Below are 14,330 nucleotides of genomic sequence, written 5' to 3'. Positions count from 1 at the left end.
AGCAGGAGGGGCCATGTGAAGCCAGCGTCTGAGGGGCTCCCCATGAGGCCACCAAGCCCCTGTCAAACCTAGTAAGTCACCCTGACACCAACCCCACCCTTCCTCAGAAGAGCAGTGAATAAACAAGAGCATGTGAATTGGGCAACTCCAGGTGGGGGTGCAGGGAAAGTGCTCAGGCTTGAAGGGGGGATAGAGAGGGGCTGGTAGAGTCACAGTGGGGAAGCAGCTGAAGGAGACGGATCGGTGAAGGAGCTCATGTGGAGGGGCCCCAGATAGTGAAGGAGGGTCCAAACCAACATTTTCTATTCTTTGCCCAGTAAAGTTTCATGAATCAACTCAAATGTTTGCTTGCTCTCACCTTCTGCCCCTAAGGAGGAAGTTGGGGGATAGCTGGTCCAAGGATTTGGACTTTGGGGCTCTCCATTTGTAAGTAAGGAAAAAGTCAAGATGAGCCATCATACTCTGTTTTCATTCCATCCTTGGCACAGACAACATATTACTCCAAAGGAGAGCTGAATAACAGAATTTAAAGGGAAATTAGAGATGAGAACATTTAGTCATCATCCTCATTTTACAGATGAGAAAACTGAGGCCCAGGGAGGTTAAACATTAAATAATGTGCTCCAAATCACTCAACCAATAATTGCAGAACTGGCAGGACTAGAACTCTGCCGCCTAATTCCCAGTTCATGCATTTTCTTGCCTTCTGCTGTGCCTGACAGGTTCCCAGTGGTGAAAGTCGGCCTTGGAGCGCCCTCCCATGGCTGTGGACAGCTACTGGAGCAGCTGTGGCACAGGCCAGTGTTAACTTGAGGATAGAATGACCTGCAGGGCTGGTTGAAACAGATTGCTGGGCCCCACCCTTGGAGTTTTGGGTTGTCTAACAAGTCCCCAGGGGACGCTGACCTACTGATTCAAAGACCACTTACTCAGAAACTCAGATGTAGATAAAAGATTTTGCAGCCAGAATACCTGGTTTCAGGTCCCAGCTCTGCCATCCAAGTGCTGATACCTTGAACATGGTACTTAATCTCTTAGCATCTCGATCTCTTTATTTTATGATGGCAACAATAACAACCACCCATAGGGTTAATGTGTAAAATAAATAAATCAGATGTAAAATACCTGAGAAGTGACATGCTGATGCTGTGTGAATATACAGATTCACAAATATGTGACCTTTGTCTGGAGAGATGCCACTGGAGGCCAGGGAATGTCCACAGAGACAAAAGCATTCTCTTAATGCTACTCAAAATTACAATAAATCCAGAAGAAATTGTGTTTATCCTGCCACAAATACTGGCTGAGGAATTACGAGGGCCTGGCACTGTGCTGTACACCACATTTGCAAAGGTGAATGACAGTCCCTGCCCTGGAGGAACAACTAGAAGGAAGATAAACATGTAAATTCTAATAATTACCCTAATCCCAGATGAGCCAGGGAAGGAACCCTGTGCCTAGAGCACAGAGCATCCCACCCTGTCTGAGAAGTCAAGCAAGGCTTTGAAAAAGAACCTGACTTTTGAGTAGGGTCTTGAAGGATGAATAGGAGTTCTTTAAGAAGAGAAGTGGTAGGGGGCACTCCAGGCAAAGGAAACAGCATATGCAAAGTAGTCACGGAAGCATGAAAATGCATAATATTTTCAAGGAAATCGCACGTGGTTCTATGTAACTGGAGCTCAGTGGGTCTGGGAAAAGGACTGGCAAAAAAGGCTAAGAAGTTTGGGCCATGCCGGGCACGCGGGTGGCTGAGGCAGGAGAATGCTGTGAACCTGGGAGGCGGAGCTTGCAGTGAGCCGAGATCGCGCCACTGCACTCCAGCCTGGGCGACAGAGCGAGACTCCATCTCAAAAAAAAAAAAAGAAGTTTCGGCCTGACTGTAACCTGGTGGGAAGCCATTGGAAGACACCCGACGAGGATTCCCTGAAAAAATTCTTAATGAGTCCCTAAGGCAAAGATTTCCAAGCCAAGCGCTTCACCACATACCCTCAGCGGCCCCAGTGCCTGAGAGCCTCCCCTGCCAGGAAGCCTAGCCCAGAAACGCCTCCCGAAACGGGTAGTGGCCCTGGGGAAGAAGCTTCCCTGGAAGGCACAAGCAGTAAACGGGCAGCCTCTTACCTCTTACCTTCATCAGATACTGGCGGGAGGCACCCTCCTGGCAGATTTCTTCATCCCCCTCTCCTTCTGTGGGTGTGGAGTCACTGGGAGAACAAAGGGATGTTATCTGTAGCTAATAAGTTATGGGAGGGGGAGGGAGCTGTAGGCGCCTGTGGGGGTGGGGAAATGAGTCCTGAGCAGCTCTGATGCAATCCAGAAAGAGGCAGGTGCAAGCCTGCACCTGGGAAGCAAACCCCCTGCCTCCCCAAAGTACACAGAGATTTGAAGCTGGAAGAGGCACCTCCAAGACTTGCCCGTGATCCCACAGCTAGCTGACGCCTGGCCCCCTCTCCCCACATCTGACTCCACGATAAAAGGTCTCAGTCTTGGAAAAACTGGCGGTTGCTGTGTTCATTGACCTCACTCCCTCTTCCTGAGTCTCTCCTGCAGCCTTCCCTTCCCAGCCCAGTCCCTGACCCTCTTTCAGACTCAGCCTTTGGTTTCCAAACAGGTATAGAATGTGGTGTGCAAAAAATGGCCTCCGCTATTTTTGAAAAAAGCAATGGCAAGAAAAAAAGAGCAAACTGCTATTCTGAGCCACATGGGCTTGGGGTTTTGATTCCAATTTCTTTGTCTCCGGTGGAGGTGGAAGCAACTTGCTCTTGTGGGAATAATCCCTTTTGTTTTTAGGAAAAGATTTTAATAGGTCTTTGGGTTATGCAAGGATAAAACGTGAACCTTTTCTGGAAAGGAGACAGTGCAATGCAGGACAACGTGAGGCCACAGGCTCCTCTTAGTCACTGTAAAATGTGGCTTTCTTTGAGAGAGAATGGCATCTCTGCAGAGGTTATGGGGAGTTTTGTTAAAGCTGTGCTTGGAGAACTTAAGAGAGGGGCTTGGGCTGGGCATGGTGGCTCACACCTATAATCCCAACAATTTGGAAGGCCGAGACGGGCGGATCGCTTGAGGTCAGGAGTTCGAGACCAGCCTGGCCAACATGGTGAAACCCTGTCTCTACTAAAAATACAAAAAAATTAGCTGAGTGTGGTGGCAGGAGCCTGTAATCCTAGCTACTCGGGAGACTGAGGCAGAAGAATCGCTTTAACCCAGGAGGTGGAGATAGCAGTGAGCTGAGATGGCGCCACTGCACTCCAGCCTGGGTGACAGAGTAAGACTTCATCTCAAAAAAAAAAAAAAAAAAAAAAAGAGAGGGGTCTGTTTCTGCAGTGGGCACCAGCAGGATTGAGCTGGTGACTGGCAGGGAGGACACCCAGGATGTGTGTGAATTCTCAGGAGTCCTTGCAAACAAGGGGAGAGGAAACCCAGGCAGGGCCGAGCTGTGCTGTTCCCGTTTGGTGACTGAAGGGACTGTGAGTGTGAAGGCAGGTGACAGGAGGATGGGTGGGGGTTGTGTCCTATTCCTCTCTCTGGCAGGGCTACCAAGGGCATCCACGCCAGTTCAACAACCCACTGAGCTCTTCCTAAAAGGACTACAAAGTCAGGTCAAAGAGGCACGGCCACCCCTGGTCCCCCTGCCACAGCCGGCCTGGAGTCAGAGCCCATCCTGAGAACAGAGCCCCACGCATCTTTCCACCCTCTGTGCTAAAAGGAGGACTGAGGTCTAACGGGGCGCCAGTGTAACCTCTTAGTTCCTAAATGTTTTACTTTGAAATGTCTCTTTTTGCTAACTACCTGACTTTGAAAAGGTAAAATGCTTTCTTTTGAAAAAGTTTTTATAGGAAACTGGATTAACCTGGGATTCAGGATGCAGGTCCCGCCAGGTTTCAGGAGTTGGGTTTAAAACTGGAACCAAGGGAAGGAATAAATGGGCATTTGGGGCTTAAAGCACTTCTGTTCTATATTAATGTAAAAATTACATGAATCTATTATTTATATAAAATTATAAACATAAACATATATTATGGTACATATGTATATTGTTTTATAATGTATTATAACTTTTTTTTTTGAGACTAAGTTTTGCTCTTATTGCCCAGGCTGGAGTGCAATGGCGCCATCTTCGTTCACTGCAACCTCCGCCTCCCGGATTCAAGTGATTCTCCTGCCTCAGCCTCCCAAGTAGCTGGGATTACAGGCATGCGCCACCACGCCTGGCTAATTTTGTATTTTTAGTAGAGATGGGGTTTCACTATGTTGGTCAGGCTGGTCTCGAACTCCTGACCTCAGGTGATCCACCCACCTCGGCCTCCCAAAGTGCTGGGATTACAGGCGTGAGCCACAGCGCCCAGCCTAAAATAGTTTTAAAATAATAATTTATAACATCAAAATCCATTTTGGGCAGTGGCTCATGCCTGTAATCCCAGCACCCTGGGAGGCCAAAGTGGGTGGATCACGTGAGGCCAGGAGTTCGAGACCAGACTAGCTAATGTGGTGAAACCCCGTCTCTACTAAAAATGCAAAATTTAGCCAGGAGTGGTGGCACACACTTGTAATCCCCACTACCTGGGAGGCTGAGGCAGGAGAATCACTTGAACCTGGGAGGTGGAGGCTGCAGTGACCTGAGATCGCACCACTTCACTCCAGCCTGGGTAACAGAGTGAGAGTCTGTATCAAAAAAAAAAAAAAAAAAAAAAAAAATCTGCCAGGGCTTGGTGGCTCATGCCTGTAATCCCAGCACTTTGGGAGGCTTAGGCAGGTGGATCACTTGAGGCTAGGAGTTAGAGACCAGCCTGGCCAACATGGCAAAACCCCATCTCTATTAAAAACACAAAAAAAATAGCCAAGTGTGGAGGTGCACACCTGTAATCCCAGCTACTCCGGAGGCTGAGGCATGAGAATCACTTGAACCTGGGAGGCAGAGGCTGCAGTGAGCTGAGATCACACCACTGTACTCCAGCCTGGGTGACAGAATGAGACTCTGTCTCAGAAAAATAAAAGAAAGAAAAAAATATATTTTAATATAAATATAATAAATTTGTAGAAAATATAAATAATATGTAAATGTACAAAAACCATAAATGTCATCATTATCCCACCACCAAAAATTCATTGATGTCAATATTTTAAGATACTTCTTTCTGATTTTACTCAATGCATATAAACAAACAGGCAAACAAACAAATAATCTAATATACTGAACATCCACCTACAGTTATTCTACAATCCTGACAGAGAAAGAAAATGCTTCTTTTCCAAGAGTTCTAGCAAAAATCTCAGGACCCCCTCTCATTGGCCTAGAATGGGTAACATGCCAATTTCTGAGTAAATCTCTCTGATGAATTGTCAGGCTGAGTGATATACCCAGTCCCATCCAATCATGGGGACTGAAAGTTGGGTGTGGTGAAATAGCTCCCCTGAGGAAATCAGTGAATTAATACTCAAAGAAGGAGGATTCTTTGTTGGGTGGTAACAATTCCCATGTCTGCTACAGGGATGCCACCCTTAGTTTGTCCATATTAAATTATTAACTGTGCCTTCATGTGTTTGTCCATCACATTCTCTGCAAAAATGCCCTACCCTACCTTTTCTGCTGGACAGATCCCATGTCAAAGTTCTGGTCTATGAATCCTTCCTTTGCAATCCCTCAGTGAATCCTTCCTTTGCAATCCCTCAATGAACCCTTCCTTTGCAATCCCTCACTGAACCCTTCCTTTGCAATCCCTCACCGAACCCTTCCTTTGCAATCCCTCAGTGAACCCTTCCTTTGCAATCCCTCACTGAACCCTTCCTTTGCAATCCCTCAGTGAACCCTTCCTTTGCAATCCCTCACTGAACCCTTCCTTTGCAATCCCTCAGTGAATCCTTCCTTTGCAATCCCTCACTGAATCCTTCCTTTGCAATCCCTCACTGAACCCTTCCTTTGCAATCCCTCACTGAATCCTTCCTTTGAAATCCCTCACTGAACCCTTCCTTTGCAATCCCTCAGTGAATCCTTCCTTTGCAATCCCTCACTGAATCCTTCATTTGCAATCCCTTGGTGAATCCTTTCTTTGAAATCCCTCAGTGAATCCTTCTGCAATCCCTCAGTGAATCCTTTTGCAATCACTTGGTGAACCCTTCCTTTGCAATCCCTCACTGAACCCTTCCTTTGCAATCCCTCACTGAACCCTTCCTTTGCAATCCCTCGGTGAACCCTTCCTTTGCAATCCCTCACTGAACCCTTCCTTTGCAATCCCTCACTGAATCTTTCCTTTGCAATGCCTCACTGAATCTTTCCTTTGTAATCCCTCGGCAGCATCAGGTGCTCTCTTCTTAAATCCACTCACCGTGGGCAGGAGCATCCATGCACTACTCATCTTTACCGTCACCTCAGCACTCAGCACCACAGCTGGCTCAGAGGAGACTCACCATCAACCCCTGTGGAATGAGTCCTCCTTTTTCAGAGAAATCAAGCTATGCCTTCATCTACTTAGGCAGCCCTGAACTTCCACACAGTGTATATTTCCATTTATAAATCACTGTTTGAAACTTGGAGCAAATTTCTCTGAAAGAAAGTCATAGATGATCATTATAATTAAGTTCTAGAATTGAACCCATAGATTGAACCCATAAGGTAGTCTATAGGGACTAAGTGTGTACTTTTTTGTGTTGTTACACATAGTGAATGAAACCATGCACGTGGAAATTCTTTGCAAATGCAAGTAATTATTATAATCATTAATTACAAACCTTATTATGAATATTATCGCCACCCTTTCCCCATCATCCTTCTTCCCCTCTTCTTCTTGTTTTGTCTGTCTTTTTGGCTTTCTCCTCTTTTCCACCAAGTCTCCCTTACATCTGGGTTTACTAGAATGTGATGGACTGGTGAGGAGCTCACATGCTAATTATAGCAGTGCTCCCTTGGGCAATGTGGTGCGTGGTGATGTGTGAACACACCATTTAAGGGATACCTCCTTGAAGCCAAAGTGGCTTCTGAGAACTTTGTCCACAGTGAGGAAGAATGTGGAGAACACGCTCTCCCACCAAAGGCAAGTCCTGTCTTTTACCCTGCCTAGGCAACCGCTTAGTGCAGAGATATTTGTAGAAGAGGATTTTGTCATCCAGGGGGTGGCTGGGATGCCTGCATCTTTTGTCATGGACCTCCAGAAGGACAACTGAAGGGAGGCCAGAGAAAAAGAACCAGAGAATCCGGAGCCTGGTGAAAACATCAACATGAGAACTGAGGTTTTAGTTTGGCAAAGCGAAGGCCGGGAATAGATCAAGACCTGTAAGAAGATGGTGACATAAAGATTTTTATGAAATCTTGGATGCTTGAAATAAATGTTTAGGGAACATTTAAAATAAATTCCTACTTCAGAGAGCAGAATGGTGGTTACTAGAGGCTAGGAAGGCAAGGAAGGAGGAGATGTTGACCAAAGGGTGCAAAGTTTCAGTTAGACAGGAGAAAGAAGTTTTCCAGGTCTGTTCCACAACATGATGACCATAGTTAATAATCATGTAGAGTATATTTTGAAATTGCTAAAAGAATTTTTTGTAAATGTTCTTACTACAAAAAATAAGGGTGTGAGGTGACGAATGTGTTAATCAGCTTGATATAATCATTCCACAATGTATGGGTATGTGTATAGTACTTGTATATGCATGTATTGTACTATATATATATATATATATATATATATATATATATATATATATACACACACACACACACACACACGTTGTACTTAAGGGGTACAATGTGATAGATATATATACACATATATAAATATATGTATAAACATATATACATAAATCACATTGTACCCCTTAAGTATATATAATTATGTGTCAATTTAAAAATAAAAATTTAAATTAAAAAAAAAATCTAGTTTTAAAAGTGGGTGGCTCACAACACGTGATGTCAGAGATACTGTAGATAACAAATTGACCATACATCTTTATCTCCTTTTTCTCCAAAGACCCACAAAAGTTTTTAAAGCATAAACCCATGAGAACTCTGAGAATGGGAGTGAGGACCTCAGTGGACAGAAGAACTTAGCAAATTTGGGGATGATAAAAAGTGGCTGCCATGGGGTAACTGACTTGAAAGGGCCCAAAGATGGCACTGATGATGAGGACTGAGCAGATCCTCCCAGAGAGCCCCGAGAGCTGGAAACCTGGAGGCAGCAGATTCTGCAGGAAGTGAGTTTGAAGGATAGGCTAAACCCTAGGGAAGCAATTGAAAGACATATATGAAGAAATTACAATTCCAGATCCCCTCCCAATCCCAAATAGTCAGGCAACTATGTCCCTGCACTTGATTGGAGGTTTTTTTCTTTACAGAAATAGAACCAGAGCACCCCCAAGTTCAAGGATCCCAGCCACAATAGGGCAGGTGCTGGCTGAGACCGGAGGAGGATTATGTTTAAGTCTACATGTTAATAGTGGACCCCAATGCCATGCTCCTTCCCTTACCCCATTCCCAGAAAAGGACTATCAGGTATATGTTCCCTGGCTAGAAGACTGGAGGATTCTTCACTGGAAAAAAACTGTTAGCCCCAGAGAAAAGTCCCCTGAAGATGGACTTTGTGTGCATGTGTAAACATTGGGTTTTACTGTAACAAAGCAACTTGTGCACTGTTAAGTTTAAAACTGAGCAACATCTTTCTTTTCCGGTGGAACACAAAGAAAATTTAAAAATAAACAGGAATGAAATTACAATAGAGAATGTCAATTCCAAATAAGATCCTACAGGCTCTGCTAATTCTCCCGTTGAGTGACAGGGCCCAAGTCATCATTGGGGGATAATTTATTTTAAAAGTATCGTCTTTGACTACAAGGATGTCTGTCAAACATCACAATTAAACATACCAAAGGAGAAGCCATGCTGTCAAAATGCCCCCCGACCCAAACATCTCAAACCTACCCTTCGGTGACCTTAAGGAGAGACTTTTATGGTCTCCCAATGAAATAGCCTCAGATTGAGACCTGCCAGTCAAATATCTGTCCATATAACAGAGTCACCAATCATTGTGATGCCTCACTATTCCATATGACTGGATAGCCCAGGATCACCAGAAATTTGCAAAAAGTATCCCACATGAAAGAGAGAGAGAGAGAGACCAAAACAAACAAACAGAAAAAAATGAACTCAAAGGAAATAGAAATGATGTAAAAAGAAACTTTAAAAAAAAATTTATGTGTATTTTTAACTGATAGTCTCAGAGATTTAAAAGAAGATACACAGCCATGAAAAAGGGCAGGATGATGTGAAGTAGAAATAATCAGAGGATGATAAAGAGCTCTTACAAATTAAAAATGTGGTCACTGCTGGGTGCAGTGACTTATACCTGTAATCCCAGCACTTTGGGAGGCTGAGGTAGGAGGATCACTTCAGCCCAGGAGTTTGAGGCTATAGTGAGCTATGATCATGCCACTGCACTCCAGCCTAGGTGACAGAGTGAGACTCTGTCTCTAAAAAGAAAAAAAAAAAGTGGTCAAAAGAGTAGGAAAATAAAGTTGAAGAAATCTCCCAGAAAGTAGAATAAAATGAGTGAAAGCTAAGGAGAAGAAAAGAGTGTTAAAAGAATATTCAAAAAGTTTCAAAAGTTTTATTCAGCTTTGAAACAGAGAAAACAAAGGATAGAATGAATAGATGATTGATTGATGGATAGATGATAGATAGATAGATAGATAGATAGATAGATAGATAGATAGATAGACAGATAGATTGATTTTCCCGGAAGTGAAGGACATAAATCTCCAAATTGAGTGTCCACTAATGTGTCCATTAGAATGGGGGAAAATTCCAAGGCAATAATTTTAAATTTCAGAATTCCAGGAAAATGGGAATAAGCTAATAACCTCTAAAGAGAAAATCATGTCATGTATGAAGGAGTACAACAGCAGTGCAGGAGGAGAGTAGTGTTGGGCACCCAAAGTTCTGAGTGAAAATTATTTTTATCCTGGCATTCTATACTTAGCCAAATAAAGGATAACTGTGGAATAAAGACATTTCCAGATATGTAAGAACTCAAAATTTTTACCTCCTACACACCTTTTCTTAGGAAGATAGTGAAGGATATGATTCAGTGAAATGAAAGACTAAGCCAAGAACAAGGAACAAAGGGATTTCAGAAAACAGAGAAGCAATGCAAAGGAGAAGACTGATGATAAGAAGTCCTAAGATGACACCTGAGCCCCAGCTGTACAGAGTAATATGTCCAAATTGTAGCAAGATGACAGGGCTAAGAAGGGAGATCTATGGCAGTAGAGGAAGGGATAGTGACCAATTATTTCATACACTTGGACATTTGGGGGAAAAAAGCATTGCTAGATGTTTAACAGATATACATAGAACATTTGGAAAATATTAGCAATACATATTTTTTAAAACTAAGCAAAAGAAAAACTATGGCAACTCTTAACTGCAGGAAAAACACAAAGCTGGAGGGAATGTCATTATGCAATACCATGTTCAGTAGAGCCATAATAATATAAACATTGACTACTGACTTAATTTTTAAAAAAATCATACTATGTTTATATGAGGGAGGGAAAATGTAAGAAAACTAAAACCTTAATTATCACACAAGAAATCAATAGATGGTGTCTGTCAAGCTTGTGCCTGCAAGACAAGGTAAGGCCAAGACCTGACTGATTCAATCAGCAAAGATACAATGAACCACTTCAGATTTAGACAGTTTATTACTTATAGAGAGAGAAAAAAAATAAGAATAAGCCAAAAGTGCTAGCTCCCTGTGATCCTTTTCTCACACATCAAAAAGGATGACACAAAAGGGGCCGATGACTGAAACGTGAGTTGTTGGATACCCACTGCTGAGGAATCAATCTTAGATTGTGGCTAAGTAGTTATATTCTTCAGCTCTATTCTGAGGTATGGGGCTTTAGTGATTCGATTCTTTTTAGGTTTTTTCCTTTTTTTCTTTTTTCTTTTGTATTTAGTGATCTGAAAAATCTAAGTGAGGAAGTCTCCTAGATCATAGCCAGAAAGATAAAAGAGACAAGATTTTTTAAATGTGTCAAGATTCCTATAATAAGAATTCTGAGAGAAAGTGGACTGGATGACAAAAAGTCATTTTCTTTTTTTTTTTTTTTTTTTTTTTGAGACAGAGTCTTGCTCCGTCACCAGGCTGGAGTGCAGTGGCGTGATCCCGGCTCACTGCAACCTCCACCTCCCAGGTTCAAGCGATTCTCCTGTCAGCCTCCCGAGTAGCTGGGACTTCAGGCACGCACCACCACACCCAGCTAATTTTTGTATTTTTAGTAGAGACGGGGTTTTACCATGTTGGCCAGGATGGTCTCGATCTCTTGACCTCACGATCCGCCCACCTTGGCCTCCCAAAGTGCTGGGATTACAAGCATGAGCCACCATGTCCAGCCAAAAAGTCATTTTCTTTTTCCTTTTTTTTTTTTTTTGAGACAGAGTTTCACTCTATCGCCCAGGCTAGAGTGCAATGGCATGATCTCAGCTTACTGCAACCTCCACCTCCCGGGGTTCAAGCAATTCTCCTGCCTCAGCCTCCCGAGTAGCTGGGATTACAGGCGGCCGCCACCACACCTGACTAATTTTTTTTAATTTTTAGTAGATACAGGGTTTCATCACCTTGGCCAGGCTGGTCTTGAACTGCTGACCTCAGGTGATCCACCTGCCTTGGCCTCCCAAAGTGCTGGGATTACAGGCATGAGCCACTGTGCCCAGCCTTTTTTTTTTTTTTTTGGAGACAGGGTCCTACTCCGTCACCCAGGCTGGAGTGCAGTGGCCCCACCTTGGCTCACTGCAACCTCCACCTCCCGGGTTCAAGCAATTCTCCTGCCTCAACCTCCTGAGTAGTTGGGATTACAGGCATCTGCCACTGCGCCCAGCTAATTTTTGTATTTTTAGTAGAGATAGGGTTTCACCATGTTGGCCAGGCTGGTCTTGAACTCCTGACCTCAGGTGATCCACCTGCCTTGGCCTCCCAAAGTGCTGGGATTACAGGCTTGAGCCACCGCCCCTGGCCCAAAAAGTCATTTTCTCAAAGAGATCATGGTTGAAATTTTTCCAGAAATGAGGAAATATAAAAACATTATTGTGAAACTAGAGAACATCAAAAATAAATGGTGGAGGGGAGGGAGGATTAAGAGAAGCTATTAATGGGTATAAGTACACAGTTTGGTAAAAGAAATAAGACCTAGTGTTAGAGCAGAAGGGTAACTATAGTTGATGATAATCTGTTGTACACCTCAAAATAGCTAGGAGAGGTCGGGCGCAGTGGCTCACGCCTCTCATCCCAGCACTTGGGAGGTGGGTGGATCACCTGAGGTCAGGAGTTTGAGACCAGCCTAGTAAACATGGTGAAACCCCATCTCTACCAAAAAACACAAACAACGGCCAGGCGCGGTGGCTCACACCTGTAATCCCAACACTTTGGGAGCCCGAGGCGGGTGGATCACAAGGTCAGGAGATAGAGAGCATCCTGGCTAACACAGTGAAACCCCGTCTCTACTAAAAAATACAAAAAAATTAGCCAGGCATGGTGGTGGGGGCCTGTAGTCCCAGCTATTCAAGAGGCTGAGGCAGGAGAATGGCATGAACCCGGGAGGCGGAGCTTGCAGTGAGCTGAGATCGCACCACTGCACTCCAGCCTGGGCGACAGAGCGAGACTCTGTCTCAAAAAAACAAAAAACAAAACAAAACACACACACACACACAAAATTCGCTGAGCATGGTGGTACGCATCTGTAGTCCCAGCTACTCAGCAGGCTAAGGCACGAGAATTGCTCAAACCCAGGAGGTGGAGGTTGCAGTGAGCTGAGATTGCACCATTGCACTCCAGCCTGGGAGACAAAGTGAGACTCTGTCTCAAAAACAAACAAACAAACAAACAAAATAGCCAGGAGATAATAATTCAAATGTTTCTAAAATGAAGAAATGATAAACACGTAAGCTGATCGATGCCCCAAGTACACTCATTTGATATTTACAAATTATGTGAGTGTATTATCACATGTACCCCGAAACTATGTATATCTATTATGCATCAATTAAAAATTGTTTTTGAAAAGAATAAATTAAAAATTTTCAAAGCCAAGAAAGAAAAAGAACGGATGACCTAAAGTGGGGAGGGGACAGGGCAGAAAGCCACATACCTCCTCAGAACCCAGAGGGCAATAAATAACTGTCTTATGACAGCCTCCCAGGGGAGCTAAGACGTGGATGGAAAGTGGCTTCTTAGCAGCTCTTTACAAGTCTCCCGTACTGTCTTGTGTTCTGAGAGGACCACAGGCATTCTGCCAAGATTCATATTCATTGTGGTTCAAGCCTTTGCCTTGGTGCCCTATTTGGATATATGCAAGGTCACCAGGTGCCATGGCAGAGCTGTGTCCCTACAGTATCAAGAAATAATAGTATAAGCATATCACTTAAAAACAAGGAGAGGCTAGGCATGGTGGCTCTTGCCTGTAATCCCAGCACTTTGGGAGGCCTAGGTGGGTGGATTGCTTGAGCCCAGGAGTTTGAGACCAGCCTGGGCAACATGGCTAAACCCTATCTCTCGGAAAAAAAAAAAAAAAAGTCAGGAATGGTGGCACGTGCTTGTGGTCCCATCTAATGCAGAGGCTGAGGTGAGACGACTGCTTGAGTTGAGCCTGGAAGGTGGAGGCTGCAGTGAGCTGAGTTCATGCCACTGCACTCCAGCCCTGGCGACAGAGCAAGACCCTGTCTCAAAAATAAAGAAACAACAACAACAACAACAACAACAAAGAAATTATCAGGGGGAAAAAACAGCCAGAAGATTTGAAGTAATAATCTCTTGAGAGGGAGACTGCAGGGAGGGAGGGAGGGGTAGATGGACATTCAGATTCACTTCATATCTTGGCTACTGTGAATAATGCTGCAATCAATTATTATTCTATTCGTGCTTAATTATCCCATTTTTGGCGAGTGGGTACCTCTTCAAATCAATGTTGCTCTTCTTTTGACAAGACTCTAATAATCTCTGGCAACTTCCTTCTATCTAGTTTGACAAATTTGTATCCTGTAACACACAGGTTAGGATAATGTACAAAATAAGCATGGAAAATTTTTCCCAAGGAGGCTTGGTCCTTTTAGTGGGACATGGTAGTTAGAAATCACAATCTGGGGTCCAGAGGTGCTCATTATTATTGGATTGATCATTGTTTCTAGGCCTTCTCAGTTGACTCTGCTAGGAAGTAGATTATTTTAAATTAATCATAAGTCCATACTTATAATAGTTTCTATTCAAATTTAGAATTTTTGCTTAATATTTGATTTTTATGTTTGTGACTTTGTTCTATTATACTGAAAATCTTGGATCCTAATGTTAACA

General features: G+C 43.7%; 4 annotated features.

Annotated features, from left to right (window-relative positions):
- Positions 1,835–2,453: an enhancer, noted in NCBI's record as "NANOG-H3K27ac-H3K4me1 hESC enhancer chr2:27975487-27976105 (GRCh37/hg19 assembly coordinates)". NCBI's record gives its function as "activates a minimal SCP1, AML or CMV promoter by ChIP-STARR-seq in naive H9 embryonic stem cells {active_cell/tissue: H9 hESC(naive)}" and the evidence as "EXISTENCE:reporter gene assay evidence [ECO:0000049][PMID:30033119]".
- Positions 5,705–5,905: a silencer, noted in NCBI's record as "peak3635 fragment used in MPRA reporter construct". NCBI's record gives its function as "represses an SCP1 promoter by STARR-seq MPRAs in K562 erythroleukemia cells {active_cell/tissue: K562}" and the evidence as "EXISTENCE:reporter gene assay evidence [ECO:0000049][PMID:32103011]".
- Positions 5,865–6,065: a silencer, noted in NCBI's record as "peak3634 fragment used in MPRA reporter construct". NCBI's record gives its function as "represses an SCP1 promoter by STARR-seq MPRAs in K562 erythroleukemia cells {active_cell/tissue: K562}" and the evidence as "EXISTENCE:reporter gene assay evidence [ECO:0000049][PMID:32103011]".
- Positions 6,025–6,225: a silencer, noted in NCBI's record as "peak3633 fragment used in MPRA reporter construct". NCBI's record gives its function as "represses an SCP1 promoter by STARR-seq MPRAs in K562 erythroleukemia cells {active_cell/tissue: K562}" and the evidence as "EXISTENCE:reporter gene assay evidence [ECO:0000049][PMID:32103011]".

Source organism: Homo sapiens, chromosome 2 (assembly GCF_000001405.40).
Source record: "Homo sapiens chromosome 2, GRCh38.p14 Primary Assembly".
Lineage (NCBI taxonomy): Eukaryota > Metazoa > Chordata > Mammalia > Primates > Hominidae > Homo > Homo sapiens.
Note: the sequence above shows the minus strand (reverse complement) of the source record. Positions and strands in the feature narration are given on the sequence as shown.